General features: G+C 39.0%; 1 protein-coding gene across 13 annotated transcripts in view, besides 1 other annotated feature; it reads right to left on the bottom strand.

The window, feature by feature from the left end:
- The window catches only part of RGL1 (ral guanine nucleotide dissociation stimulator like 1), a 292,424-nt gene that overhangs the window by 82,404 nt on the left and 195,063 nt on the right, over positions 1–14,957 (bottom strand). The gene's annotated exons all lie outside the window — the stretch shown is intronic.
- Positions 4,292–4,341: an enhancer, noted in NCBI's record as "active region_2224". NCBI's record gives its function as "activates an Ori minimal core promoter by ATAC-STARR-seq in GM12878 lymphoblastoid cells {active_cell/tissue: GM12878}" and the evidence as "EXISTENCE:reporter gene assay evidence [ECO:0000049][PMID:35858748]".

Raw genomic sequence — 14,957 nt, 5'->3', positions numbered from 1 at the left:
CTTTGCTATTGTGAACAGTGCTGCAATAAACACACGTGTGCATGTGTCTTTATAGTAGAATGATTTATAATCCTTTGGGTATATACCCAGTAATGGGATTGTTGGGACAAAGGGTGTTTCTGGTTCTAGATCCTTGAGGAATCGCCACACTGTCTTCCACAATGGTTGAACTATGAGTGAACAGGCAACCTAGAGAATGGGAAAAAAATTTTTGCACACTCATTCCTAAAGACAGCTCCTATGGTGGAGTGCTGGAGCTGAGTCATACTGGTTTTGGAGAGAGGATTGTTAAATTTTAAGAATTTGTGTGAGCCAGTTGAAATCATGTTGATAGCTTGAAAAACTGGCCATGGTTGGAGTATATTCTCCGTGGAAATCTATGGAGATGGAATCATGATCTGACTTTCTTCAGTCCACAGACGGCAATGTGCATTTTGATTCAATATCATCAGCAATCAACAGAGCTGACTGAGAAAATGGTTGTACCAAGCACCACTGGGTTAAGCTCTGGGGAGTGATGAAAAGGGTGGGTGGGTGTATGACCCTGCCTTCTGGAAACTTGCAAAGTCTAAAAGAAGACATTTACTCACGAGAAGCAGCTAGCACATGAAAATGAAACTGTAAATGAATATTGGTAGATATAATTGTACCTTGGTAGATATAAACCATAATACATAAAAATTCATTGGTAATAAAATCTTCACAGCTTAAAATTTGAGTATAAGGGAAGAGAATTAAAATGAAGAAAAATATTGGTGTGCCTTACATTCTGCAGTAAATCTGTGCCTAACAAATTATACAGAGATGCAATTTTGAAAGTTTAACTCATCCTTCATAGGCACTAAGGAAACTGCTCTAAAGAGAGGAGGTCTATTTCTAAAGCAAAAATAATCCTAAGTGATGCGAACAATCGCCAGGCGGTTTATCTGAATCGCAAGTTGAATTGTAATTGTTTTATGTCAGATTTCCTAAATTGAAATAGTCACATGTGAAAATTAAAGAAGAGACACAAAGAAGAAAGAAGTGGATCTCTAATGATGATATTGTGCTTACTAAGTAGCATGTTTGCTTTTCCTTCACCTGGCCTGTCAGAAATCAAACTACTGGAAGGAAACTAACAGATGGATTGCTTTCAGAAAGACCAGAGTGGTGGCAACTGCTTTCAGAAGGGGGTTAGAATAGCTTAATGTCATCATGTCAAACCGCTAACAGGAATTAAAATTAAGACTCCAGCTTATGTGGTAGATGGCTTTATCTCTTTATTTAATTTCTGAAAGTTTTCTAGGGAGAGGGATCTGGTTCAGGCAAAATAGCAAACATTTCTTTAGGCCTCTTAAGACTGTTGACTCAGATCAGGGTCTAATAGCTGTTCTTTATCACTCTATATGTAGTTTTAGAACAAACCTTGTAGTACCCATCTGTTCCCCAGAAGTTCCAATTAACTTTATCAGAAACAATAAGTGAAAAAGATATATGGTTTAGAATTCTACATGTTATTAATTATTTGGTTCACTGTTGCTTGAAGTGTGTGCCGTAAAACACTAGTTCCAAAAAAAACTCCTATGGTCAAGTTTGGGAACTATAGAGTTCAACAAAGTCAATGATATCTCTTTACTGCAGAATTTCTCATATGCCAACGGTGTTATTCAACTCCAAGAGAGGGGTATGGTATGCAGCATTTCCAGATGGATTTCTCTTTAGTCTGAGAGCATCTTGCAGAACTTCAGAATGCACATACTTTGAAAAATTTTGGCTTATTAAATTACTGTAATGCATTTAAAACTTAACTCATATTTACCACTTTTCATTTAAAAAAGAAAAATCAAAACATTATAAAATATAATGTTAATTTTTATTTTCAAATGTGTATTCCTTTGATCTCTTTATTAATACAAAAATGTCAGGATGTTTTGTGTTTTGTACCTTGTCACTTCAAAAGACCTGGCCAAAATAATTGTCAGCCTGCATGATATTCAAAAGTAGCAGTTAGAAAATATACTTCAGGATGGGAGCGGTGGCTCACGCCTGTAATCCCAGCACTTCGGGAGGCCAAGGGGGGTGGATCACCTGAGGTCAGGAGTTCAAGAACAGCCTGGCCAACATAGTAAAACCCCATCTCTACTAAAAATACAAAATCAGCCACGTGTAATGTGCGTGCCTGTAGTCTCAGCTACTCAGGAAGCTGAGGCAGGAGAATCACTTGAACCCAGGAAGCGGAGGTTGCAGTGGGCTGGAGATTGTGCCACTGCACTCCAGCCTGGGCAACAGAGCGAGACTCCATCTCAAAAGCAAACAAACAAAAAAAAACATGAAAATATACTTCAATGTTAAATATTAACAACAATAAAAGGAATGGCTTCTCAGTGGTTAGGGATAGTCAAACTCTGATTTAAATCAAGCTTCCTCGCCTTGTGATAATAACAGTGTTCCCTTACCAAACAATGTTGAAATTTGACGATTCTTATTTTACTTACAATGGAAACTCTACTTTAATTCTAAATCCTTCTTATCAAAAGTGATGATTATTTAAAAGAACTATTTTTTCACCGAGTATTGACGTGTCCCAAAATTCAAACACAGAGAAAAATGCTTGTCAAAGGACCTGATGAAGTGGGTCCCATTTCCTGCCAGAAAGCAGAGATTTGGCAGAAAGCCAGGGTTCTCCCTTGGGAATGGAATTATGTTTCTCATTAACCCAGCCCCTCTCTTTCAGTACTTTCTTACTCGGAAAAAATTTCAATATGCATACATGATTCCTGTAAGTCCCTTTAACAGTATTTGTTCCTCAGGGTTTGCATCTGTGCATTAGGAAGAACCACATATGACCTAACAGAAGACTAATAAAATATTTTGAAAATTTAGATTTAAAAAATAATTTTCAAAGTGAACATCAATGACAATATCATAAAATAAGTATAGAATTGCTCTTGTGCCTACAATCATTCTCACACAAAATAACAATGCATGTTAAGTTATCAGAGAATTTGCTTAATGTCATTTTCTGTAGAACTGCTAAATATCCTAATACCTGCTTATTATGGCAGGGGAAAGATCTGATGACTTCTAATTTGCCAACATTCAAATAGAGTACATTTCTTATGAAACAAAAACTTAAAATGATCTGCTTACCACTGAAATTATTTTGAAATGAAACTGTACAGAGGGGAAACACAAAAAATACTCTGCCATATGGCCCGACAAGAGAAGCTAAAATGTTAAAAGTTTCATTTTTGCAAGAAAAGATTCCTATAGGTCTGTAAGTGTTTTAAGAGACTTTAGGACCTGTTTTTGCTTATATTATCTTAGTAACTTTGAATTATTAAGTTGAAGACGAAAGGGGTGGAACCCTTGTCAGACAAGTGCTTAATAACCCAGACTTAGAAAGCAAGACACGGAGGCCTGAGCCTGTCCTGTGGGTTAGCACGCTAACAGGAAACAGCTCAATCTGGATTTAATCATAGACCGTCGCTTTACTGACAAGATCACGGTACTGTGACCACAAAAATGTTTCATGTTTGTTTTTTTGGTTGATCTTTGTGCCTTTAGAATCCAGCTTTTTCTAAGAGAACATGTCTGAGTCCTATGGGGTAAATATCTAAAACTGTGCCCAAGTGTCCTACCAGGTAATTTCCATAATTATCGATTTTGGCATGAGACGGAGAGGAAAAAGGGCATGTGAGAGATGAAAGATGCCATATTTCAATTCCGTTTCCAGTCATGGAAAAATAAACTCTTTCACCTTCTAAAACATAAACTGTTAACCAGTTGGGTGTTTCTAATTTGAAAAAAAAAAAAAGTCCCTTCAATCAAAATAATAATTCAGTCATCTGATAGTTTAACAGGGAACGTGTTAAGCAAACAACCTCATTAGGATGGAGACAGTATGGAGTCCTCCACACCATGATCACTCTTCAGTATATCAGTTCTCAGGCATCTTGGCCTGAGCAGCAAAGTAAATAGTGAGTACTATTCCAGCTGTTAACTCCCTCCAAAAATCTAAAACCCACACCCAATCCCTACATTCATCCCCAAACACCAAAAGTAAGTTTTATGCTTCCTTTTCATATGCCCTACAACCACTATCCAGCAACAACAAACCACCACAATACAGGCTGAGGATCTTTTATCTCAAATTCTTGGGACTGAAAGTGGTTTGGATTTCAGAATTTTTCAGATTTTGAAATATTCCCACTATACTTACCATTCAAGTATCCCCATTCTGAAAATCCAAACTGCAAAACACTGCAATAAGCATGGATGTTGGAGCACTTTGAATTTCGGTTTTAAGATTAAGGATACTCCACCTGTATAGGAAAACCCACAAGCTGACTCACAAATAAGCTCTGCTCATCTCTCCATATTACTCAACTGCATAAATTTCTTTGCCATGCAACAAAATTTGCATCATTCTCTCAGCAGAAATCATGTATGTAATGACACCCAGCAGAACATGACAAGGCCAATACACCTGAGTACTACAGTGACTATTTACACACAGGACACTCAGAGATGTTAAGGTAAAGTCTAGAAAATACTTTAGGGCCCATGATGTCAAGCTCAACATGAGGTTCTGCCTTGTGTGAACTTTTATTAGGTTGGTGCAAAGGTGATTATGGCTTTTGCCATTAAAAATAGTGGCAAACTTAACAAAACTTAAACCAAAACTTGTCACAATCACCTTTGTGCTAACCTAATATTGGGTGGGAAGTCACTTTTTTGCTAGGTTAGGGTTGACAGATAAATTACAGGATGCCCAGTGAAATTTTAATTTCAGAGAAATAATGAATAATTACATACTATGTGGTATAAGTATGTCCCATTCCATGTTTGGGATCTATGCATACTAAAAAAACCTATTTGTTATTTATCTGAATTTGAAATGTAATTGTGTATCCTGTATTTTTATGCTACTAGCACATACACAATGGCTGTCTTTTCCATTTATTCATCTACTTATTCAGCTACATATTAACTAAATGGTACTATGTGCCAGGCACTGTGCAAGGTACTAGACATATAAAGGTAAATAGCATGCAGTTCTGGCAACCAAGTTGTTCAGTCTGGTGAAGGAAACAGACACAAAGAAACCATTACAATAAAATGTGAGTAAAATGGTGGAGAGAGAGGCAAGACATGGAGGGAAGCACCAAGAGGGGCCCAGTGTAAAGGAGGTGTCAGAAAAGGCTTCTTAAGTAGGTTCTGTCTGCACTGGGTTGTTTTGTTTTGTTTGTTTGTTAGAGATGCAGTCCATCTCTATTGCCCAGGCCGCAGTACAGTGGTGCAATCAGGGTTCAATGCAGCCTCAACCTCCCATGCTCAAGCATTCCTCCCACCTCAGCCTCCCAAGTAGCTGGGACTACAGGCACGCACCACCCCAGCTAATTTATTTATTTATTTATTTATTATTTATTTATTTATTTATTTATTTTTTAGAGACAAGGCCTCGCTATATTGCCCAAGCTGGTCTCAAACTCCTGGACTCAAGCGATTCTCCCACCTTGGCCTCTCAAAGTGCTAGCATTACAGGCATGAGCCACCATACCTGGCCTGCACTGGGTTTCACATAATGAATGAGAGTTAACTATGTTGGGGAGGGCACAGCAGGCAGAGAAACAAGCATTAAAAAAGTCATGAAAACGCTATCCCAAAGTATGGAACTTTGACATGCTGAGGACTTTGAACTAAAGGAATTGGAAGGCCTCAGAAGCAGCCTCAGAAGCAAATTCTCTGACCTTTTCCTGCCCTCCTGTCTCCTACACTTCTTTCTCCCTTGAAGTGAATCATAGAAACCAGGATTCCTCCTTCCCAAGGTGAGTCATAGAAACTAGAACCCCCTCTTATCCTAAAGCAAGGCTTAAAGCCTGGAAATATTGCTCTAACCTCCCTCACCTTTTTGTTTAGAAGCTGACCATAAATTCTCTGACCTACCTTGTCTGATAGTAGATCATAAGACCCTCATTCCATAGGGGTCCTGGCCCACACCCAGGGGGAAAGAAGAATACTACAAAGAGTGGCCAGGAAGAATCTGAACAGACAGGCCTTGCTGGGTTCCCCCTTAGTCTATTACCATTAGATCATACCCGTTTCATCCAATCACATTTCCACATGGCTGTCCATTCTTCATTGACTCTAAGCATAAAAATGGAAAGTTTCCTCTGGCTCTTTGGGCCATTATTTCTGAAGGCTCCCATGTCACATAAAACTTTGATTAAAGAAATCTGTTATGCTTTTCTCTTGTTAACCTGTCTTTTGTTATAGGAGAGTTACCGATGACCCTTATGATGGGTGAGGAAAGGCATCATACCTTTCCACCACTACAGGGGGAAAATGTGTGGCTGCATAAACAATATGACAGAGGGAAGGAATGCTTTGGCTGGAGAGCCAGCAGGAGACTACCTGATTATGGAGGACTTAGGTTGCATGCTAAGGAGCTGAGACTCTGTGTCCTGTTGAAATGGGAGACCAATGATGAGGTTTTAAGCATAGTCAAGGAAATCAACGTGGAGGACAGATTTGATGAGGACAGTTTTAAAGTTGGAAAAACCAGTACGAAAGTTGTGGATATTCCAGATAAGCAACTGCAAGGGCTTTAACTAGTACAATAATAGGAATGGAGAAGGTGGCAGATGGGAGGGACACATTTACCCTCCCATCAAATAATCAAAAAGAAGATCATCAAGACTTCTGATCAATTGGATGTAGAGAATAAAATGAAGGAAAATAAAGAATCTGGAAACTTCACCTGATTTCTAGTGTGGATGGCTGGAAAGGTAATGGTGTCACCTATAAGAAAGAAAATTGAGGGGAGGAAGTCAGATTTTGGTGGGTTAGGTACTGAATTACATGCCAATGGTAAGTCCAACAGGCAGTTAGAATCTAAAAGTTGGGAGAAGGGTCTAAGATGGAAATATGTAGAAATTACATCAATTAAAATAGGAAGAGTAGTAGGCTAAGGATGGTATCTGGATGAGTACCAAAATTAAGCTGGTTCCAAGAGTAAAGATGGGCAGCACCAGAAGAGGCACTTGCACATGTGGCAAATTCATACATCGTCTGATCTATGATGGCATTTCTGGGCAGAGAAACCAGAAGAAATCTTCACCACCAGATTCACATATGTGCTGACATATGTACCTTCCCTCTAATTATACAAACATATCAAGGCTTAGACAGCGGTATGCTGGAGCCAGCTTGAACCTCTTGCACGAGCCAAATGTGCACACTCCTCACCTCTGCATTCAGTGGCATCATGTTGGTAGTGTGAGTTCAGACATGGTGACACTATTTACGCCATGAAAATTAGCAATGCTACAAATTAGGGTTTTTATTTTGGAGGGCCAGTTTATCAGCATACCCCTGCCCAGAAGTCCCTCTCAGATTGTGTCAGTGTCAAGAGACACCTTCACACTGGCTGAGACATTTTCTTTCTGTGTACGTTCCAGTTAAGGTATTTGTGTTGTCACCATGATCTTTATCTGATAGAAGAAGGGAATTACACCTCTGAACTATGAAGAAAGTAGAAATGTGGAGGCAGGAGAGGCAGAAGGGCATGTGTATGACAAACCAATGTGCTCTGAAAAAACTACACGAGCCCCAAGAGTTGACCTTGCTTGAAGCCACTTGTTAGAATGAAGCCACGTGGTCAGGCTTCTATGATGAATATCCTTCATCCTCAGGAAGATGTAAAGGGAGCTGTAATAACAAACAATAGCTAGTGTTTTATCACACAGAAATCCCATCCCCCTTTGCCATCCTGTCTCAGTAGGGTTTCCTAGATAGAGTCCAGGAACCCTCCTGAAGGAAACAGGAAGCTGTGTTTCTCATCTCCTGAAAAAGAGTAGTACTCCTGGAGTCTTGGTCCAACATTAATCCATAACAGATTCTATCTTCTCTAACACAAATCTCCATTTCTGACATTCTGGTCATCCTTTAAGGATTCCAAAGTTTCCCAGAAAGCAAATTTAAATATTAAGTGGATTTTAAGAAGTTTGCCGACCACATTTTTCAAATAAAATAATTTCACTTTCATCTGATACTTTTCTGCTTGAAACTCAGAATGCCAATAACTAAAGCAAGGGTCTCCAACCCCTGCACCATGGACCAGTAGCAGTCTATGGCCTGTTAGGAACCGGGCCTCACAGCAGCAGGTGAGTGGCAGGTGAGCCAGCATTACTGCCTGAGCTCCACCTCCTGTCAGATCAGCGGCGACATTAGATTCTCATAGGAGCGCCAAGCCTATTGTGAACTGCACATGCGAGGGACCTAGGTTGTACACTTCTTATGGGAATCTAACTAATGCCTGATGATCTGAGGTGAAACAGTTTCATCCTGAAACGAACACCCCTCAACCCCCGTTCATGGAAAAACTGTCTTCCACAAAACCAGTCCCTGGTGCCAAAAGGTTGGGGACTGCTGAACTAAGGCGTTATGAATTAACAGGTTGCATTTCCATTTGGAGCCAATTTACTGTCGGACCTAGGGCAAAAACTTAGTTTCAATGACTTCGTTACCTACTTTATAAAAGGAATACATCAATGCAATTTTGAGAAGTTCAAGGATTTAAGAGTTGCACGGAGGGAGAGGAGTTTGAATTAAAATAGTCACTGTTGCATTTGCCAAATAAGATCACAAATTGTCACATACAAATTAGTATCCAGAGTGAACTTCCAAAATTCATAGCTCCCTCCTTTTTCTCTCATTCAGAGCCTCAAATGTCCAAGGTCTTCATAAACTAAGGTCACAGGTTAACAGGTGCCCTGGCTTGCTTGAGTCCATTCTGTTTTTGTGCAGCCCAACCAATCTCTGTCTGTAAAGGTCAGCAGGGGGTAGTGAGCTTCTGTGTGACCTAATATTCTCTGTGAATGAAGCCTGCTATGAATGGAGAGGCTTCCCCACAGCCCAGAAGCTTTCCCAGCATGCCATAAATCCCACAGACAGCTCCATGGGGCTTTATCTCCTTGTGAGATTTATAAGTGCTCCTTCACCAATCCTCCAGGGAGAGTACGGGGAAGGGTAGCAACTAACTGATGTTTCCAAACTTTAAAGTCAAGTCATTAATTTTTGATTCTTACTCCGTATACCACATTAAGGAATCTTCTGCACTTTCCCTACCTAGGCGATTCCTATGGGAACATTTAGTTCCCACTGTTATGATTACCTATTATTGTAATGTTAAAAACCAAAGCCCCATTATCCAAAATGACAATAAAATTATTACTCCCCTGGATCTCGGAATTCAAGTAATAATGACGTTGTTTAGTTTGATCCCTTCCCCTCCAAAATGAAATATTTAAAGTCTATGTGGACTTATAAATTCAGATGTAAGATGTAGCTTTATGACTCACAAACCTCTGGGCTGCAGTGTCTCTGGCAAGTATTCTATCCCTCAGCACTGTTTTTGGCACGTATAATATTCCTAGATCATGGGCTTGCTAGAATTGGCTACTGATAAACCCACCAGGTGTCTTTCAAGCATGTTATTAGGTGATCAAACCTAGGGCAAAGTTCTATGAAAAACAGTTGCGTGTATCCTGAGTATACCTCTTTGAAACATACACTGAAGGCTGGGCGCAGTGGCTCACGCCTGTATTCCCGCACTTTGGAAGGCCTAGGTGGGTGGATCACCTGAGGTCAGGAGTTCGAGATCATCCTGGCCAACATGGAGAAACCCCATCTCTACTAAAAATACAAAAAAATACAAAAAAAAAAAAATTAGCTGGGTGTGATGGCGGGTGCCTGTAATCCCAGCTACTCGGGAAGCTGAGGCAGGAGACTCGCTTGAACCCAAGAGGCGGAGGTAGCAGTGACCTGAGATCGCGCCATTGCACTCCAACCTGGGCAACAAGAGCAAAACTCCGTCTAAAAAAAAAAGAAAAGAAAAGATACACTAAACTGGCTTTTTTTCTTAATAGGTTTTCTTCTTCATAAGCTATACATTAATTCTAAGAAAACCATTCTTAGACTGTAAATGAAGAAAGAAGGCTAACTTGTATTTACTGAGTGCACATTATGGATTAGATGCTCAACCCTTACAACAACCCTGTAGTGTAGGAATTATTCCCACTTAAGGAAACAGAGGTTTGGAGAAGTAAGGGGTCACACCCAGAGTTACCCAGCCAATTAGCATAGGCATTAAAGCAAGGATATAAAACCAGCCCTGTCTTTCAATCATGGAATATTCCCTAAAAACACAAAGCAATACGGTATTGGGTACTCAATCTCCATATCTGTACACCCAAGAATTATCAGAACTCAATTGCCCAGAATCTACAGACTTCATAGGATTTTTGTAAGAAAGAGAAAGTTAGATAATAGATCTAAGGCATGTTGAAAGATTACAAGCTATTCAGCACTCTACAAATACTTTTCACTTTCTTTCCCCTACACCAACTACTTTCACCCAAAGTTAAGTCTGATTACATCTGGTATTATCTCTGGTATTATCCTTCTTACCTCTTGACACTGACTGAAATCCTTAACACCTAAAGACAAAAAATAACGTCTTAGTGCCAAAGACTCTCTTTGGGGGGAAACAAAATCCCTCTCATTATTATAGTTTCTTAAATGAGTAAATTTAGTCTAAGAGTCTAAGAAAGATGGATGAATGACTTAACCCAAGGGCTCAAGGAAAGCCAGGAGAAGCTGGCTTCTGCATGAGAAACTACTGGGTAATACAGACTGGGAATCCATGGAAAGCACTCGTGTTCTGCTCTGATTTCCAGATTATTAAATAATTTTCCTACCTGCTAGGTTTAGAGATCTACTCTCTAGTCAAAAGACAGTTTCCTTCTATTTTCAGAAATAAAGGGAAATGAAAGCAGAATGACAATATGATTGATTATGGGATACAGCCAGACAAAAGGGCAGATTTATAAATTCTGACTTGTAAAAAAACATTTAAAGAAGAAAGTAGCATATAGAAAGGCCTGGTAGCTGGCAAAAAAACACAGATCCAATTTGTCCAAATGAACAGAAACCAAGAAAGCAAACATTTTGTTTACTAGATATTAATGATCAAAATTTTATGTAAAAAGATAGGCATTTGTTTGAAAAGAAAATATTTATCCTCCTAAGAAGATGCTCATCATTTCCATGGCTTGTGACCCGCTCTTGGTATCAGTCATTAAAACAGTATTAAAAGTGCTTTGGCCAGGCATGGTGGCTGATGCATATAATCCCAGTGCTTTGGGAGGCTGAAGTGGGAGGATCGCTTGAGGTCAGGAGTTCAGGACTAGCCTGGGCAATATAGTGAGACCCTGTTTGTAAAAAAAAATTAGAAAATTAGCCTGGGTGTGGTGATATGTGCCTAGCTACTTGGGAGGCTGAAGTGAAAGGATCTCTTGAACGGACGAGTACAAGGCTACAATGAGCTATGATTGTGCCACTGCACTCCAGCCTGGGCAACAGACCAAGTCCCTGTCTCTAAAAATAAAAAAAATACAAAATAAAAAGAGAAGAGCCTCCATTGTGCCAAGAACTCAAATGAGGTACTAAGGAAATCTATAAAAGGAATAAGGAATTTCTACTCTCTAAAAACCTTAGAGATGATGAGTGTGAATTTCTTCATTTAATGACGTGTAAAGAAAGGGGTACAGAGCTTAGTACTAGTGCATATGCCATAGACATTAAATACATGCCAGGTAAATAAGCAGGAGCCTCACAGAGGGAGTTGCAGAACTGATGGGGTAAGGCCTCTCGCAACCTTAGGATTCAATGATAAAGGTGGCAGTCAGGAAAAAATGAAGGGGAGGGTGGGCAAGGAACTAGACTCTGTTTCTAGTTCCAGTTCAATTAATTATCAGCTACTTGCTAGTGCTTTCTAGAACTAGCTATCTCGGTAGTGAGCTAGGATAATTCCTTTTGATTTGGTTGTTTTTGTTTGTTCCTAAATACACTTGAGTAGATACATTCATTCAGCAAATATTTGTTGAGTTCCTACTATGGGGCTGCTGGAAGCCAGAGATACAACAAATTAATAGACAGATAAGACGCCAACTCATACAGATAAATGCACCTCCTCTACAATTAAATAAGAAAGTAAATTCACGAGGCTTTTACCACCTAGACCTGGCCTAGACTCTTATGAGGTCCCACCTCCTAGAGACAGTCTTCAAAGCTACCTGAGCCTCAGAGTTTTATGCTGCTATGCTAAAAAAAAAAAAAAACAGAGAGAGATATGGCTCATTTCATCATCATATGCATACTGAAGCTATAAATATAGGGGGAGCAACTCTTTCTAATCAATACTATATAACTAAAAATACTAACTGCAGGTAGGGCCATTAACCGAATCGATATAAAATAGAGTCCTCAGCCATAGCTTCTCTGTGACTTCTCCAGCAGTGCTGTGGTAACTTACCAATGGATTCTATTATTCATTTGTAAGGTCAAATCAGTTTTACTTTTAACCAAAAGTACTATTCAACTGCAAAAATATAGCAAATCATACAATATGTTCAGAACAAGGTTCTAAGGTTTTAGTTATAGTAGCCTGAGTTTCTGAATACAAAATATTTTAACACTTTTTTGTGAAAAATCTCACTAATAAACAAGATACATTTATGGATCTATTTGCCTGTTCTCTTAAATACACTAAAGGGTTTTCAAGAGATTCACCTGGAGTGCTGGGCAGAAACTGATTCCTGAGCCCATGCCCCAGAGATTCCGATCAGTAGACCCAGAACAAGGGCTAGGTGGTCTGCATTTTAACCAGCATCCTAGGTGATTCTAAACTGCAGAATCTCTATTGATTACCCTTTGAGCTATACTATGCTTGACAATGTGAAAACAAGGATGACTAGGGTTTATTGATGGGATAACAGAGAAGTTGATTAATAAAAGCTTGGATAAAGTCATCTGGCCTCTCTTAGTCTTAGTTTCCTCATTTGTAAACTAAGAATATTATCTTCATCTTCCTTAACTCACCTTGATGTTATGAGGGTGATTCAAAAGAACACAGGATACACTTTGAGCTGCTTTAAATTAAAGAACTATATATTAAACTAAGGTATTACTAGCACTTATGTCAATAACCTGAGAGGCTTTCAAGCAAACCATGTGATCTTGCTTGTGTGTTTATGTTATGAAATTCAATAGGTGTTCCTACAAAAAGGGACGGTATTATGATTAGCCTACAGAGTTTGTTTCTGCCCCCATTACTCTTCCAGCTGGTTGTCAATCCTATGGAAATGTTTTAGCACTTACCTCCTGTGATATCCCTGGAGAATCGGCACTATTGATTCCCGCCTGAAACTCTGTACCTTTTCCTTATAAACATCATTTTCTCAAGAATAACAATAACAACAACAATTCCAAGCATTTTGTATATATCTTATAATAACCTTATAAAGCAGATACATTTATTATCCCCATTTTACAGATAAGAAAACTGAGACCCAGAGAGGCTAAGTGACTCATTCCAGGTCACACAGCTAAGAGGCAGAAAAGCCAGGATTCAAATTCAAGCAGTCTGGACCCACAGTCAGACTTAACCACACTATCTCATCTTCCTCAAAAATCTTCTGTGAATCTAAAGGCTCATCAACAGTTCCTCATCCTTCACTTACCATCAATATGGAAACATTTCTAACCACAACCTTCTTTCCTCTTTTTCTATACTCTTTCTGGTCATCCCACACATATATCCTTAGAGTTTCACCTAACACAAATATTATATTAACTCCCAAAGCTTTATCTACAGCTTTTACTTCTCTTCTGAATTCTAGACTTGAATTTCCAATTACCACATTCACCTGAATAATTCACAGACAACTCTAATTTAACACATACATAAGGAAATTCATTTTATTCCTCTAAAAGCTCACCCCTTTTCTAGCCTCTGACTTAATGACCCAAGTCATAAATGTACAGATCATCCTTACTCCCTCATCCCCCCAAAATCCAACCTCTTCCATCTCCTATATCGTCCCACTTCATTCTCATTCCTCAGCCTCATTGCCTTTGCCTTAATTTACATCTCAGTCCATAACTGGGTATGAGTAATAGGCACCTAACTAGTCTCACTTGCCTCTAGTCTTATCACTTCAACCACTCATCCATATACAAAATGATCTTTCTAAAGTACAAATCCTGCTTTTATAATAAAGTCCAACAAGCTACTAAAGCTTGACATGCCTATCCTATAATTCACCAATTCACTCAGACATATTCTCAACAGAAATGAGTGTATATGCCCACCAAAAGACATGGCCAGAAACATTTATTACAGTTTTATTCATAGTAGCCATATACTTCCCATATTAGGTTGTATTTATTTAATTATAGGTATCCCGCACTAGACTGTAAAATTTTTAAGAGCAAAGACTATTCATATTTAAATCTCTAGAAATTGGCCTTCAACCAAATCAGCAATAAGCTCTTCATGAATATTAATTAAATGGATATGTTTCTAATGTAATGAATCTATCTAGTGACATTATTATAGTCCCTAAATAACCTTTACTTGATTCTTCCAAATTCAGTCAAATAAAAATATGTACATATAAAGTCTGTACATATACAATAAAAGCATGTAATGCTTGATCATCACCTCTCAGCTGGACTGCTAAAATAAACAATCTTTTAAATTGTTCTTATGGCATCCATGGTGATCTTTTAAAAACACAAATCAGATGGTGTCACTCCCTACTTAAAACCTCCCACTGGCTTCCCATAATCCTTTAAATGAAATCCAGCCTTCTGCCAGACCTCACAAAGCCCTTCCTACCTATCTCCTTGACCTCACTACCAAAACCATCTCCTTCCCTCTCTAGGCCCCAACCACACTGGCCTTCCTTCAGTTCCTAAAACACAGCAAGCTCATTCTCATGGAAGGATCTTTGCATTTGTTCCATCTGCCTTAAATGCTGCTCAGCCTGAGCATGTTCTCAGACTGGCTCCTTATTGCCTTCTTTTCATTGGGCAGTACTTACTCAGATAAACCCCCTAGAGCACCCCTC

The sequence above is a fragment of the Homo sapiens genome, chromosome 1, assembly GCF_000001405.40.
Source record: "Homo sapiens chromosome 1, GRCh38.p14 Primary Assembly".
NCBI lineage: Eukaryota > Metazoa > Chordata > Mammalia > Primates > Hominidae > Homo > Homo sapiens.
Note: the sequence above shows the minus strand (reverse complement) of the source record. Positions and strands in the feature narration are given on the sequence as shown.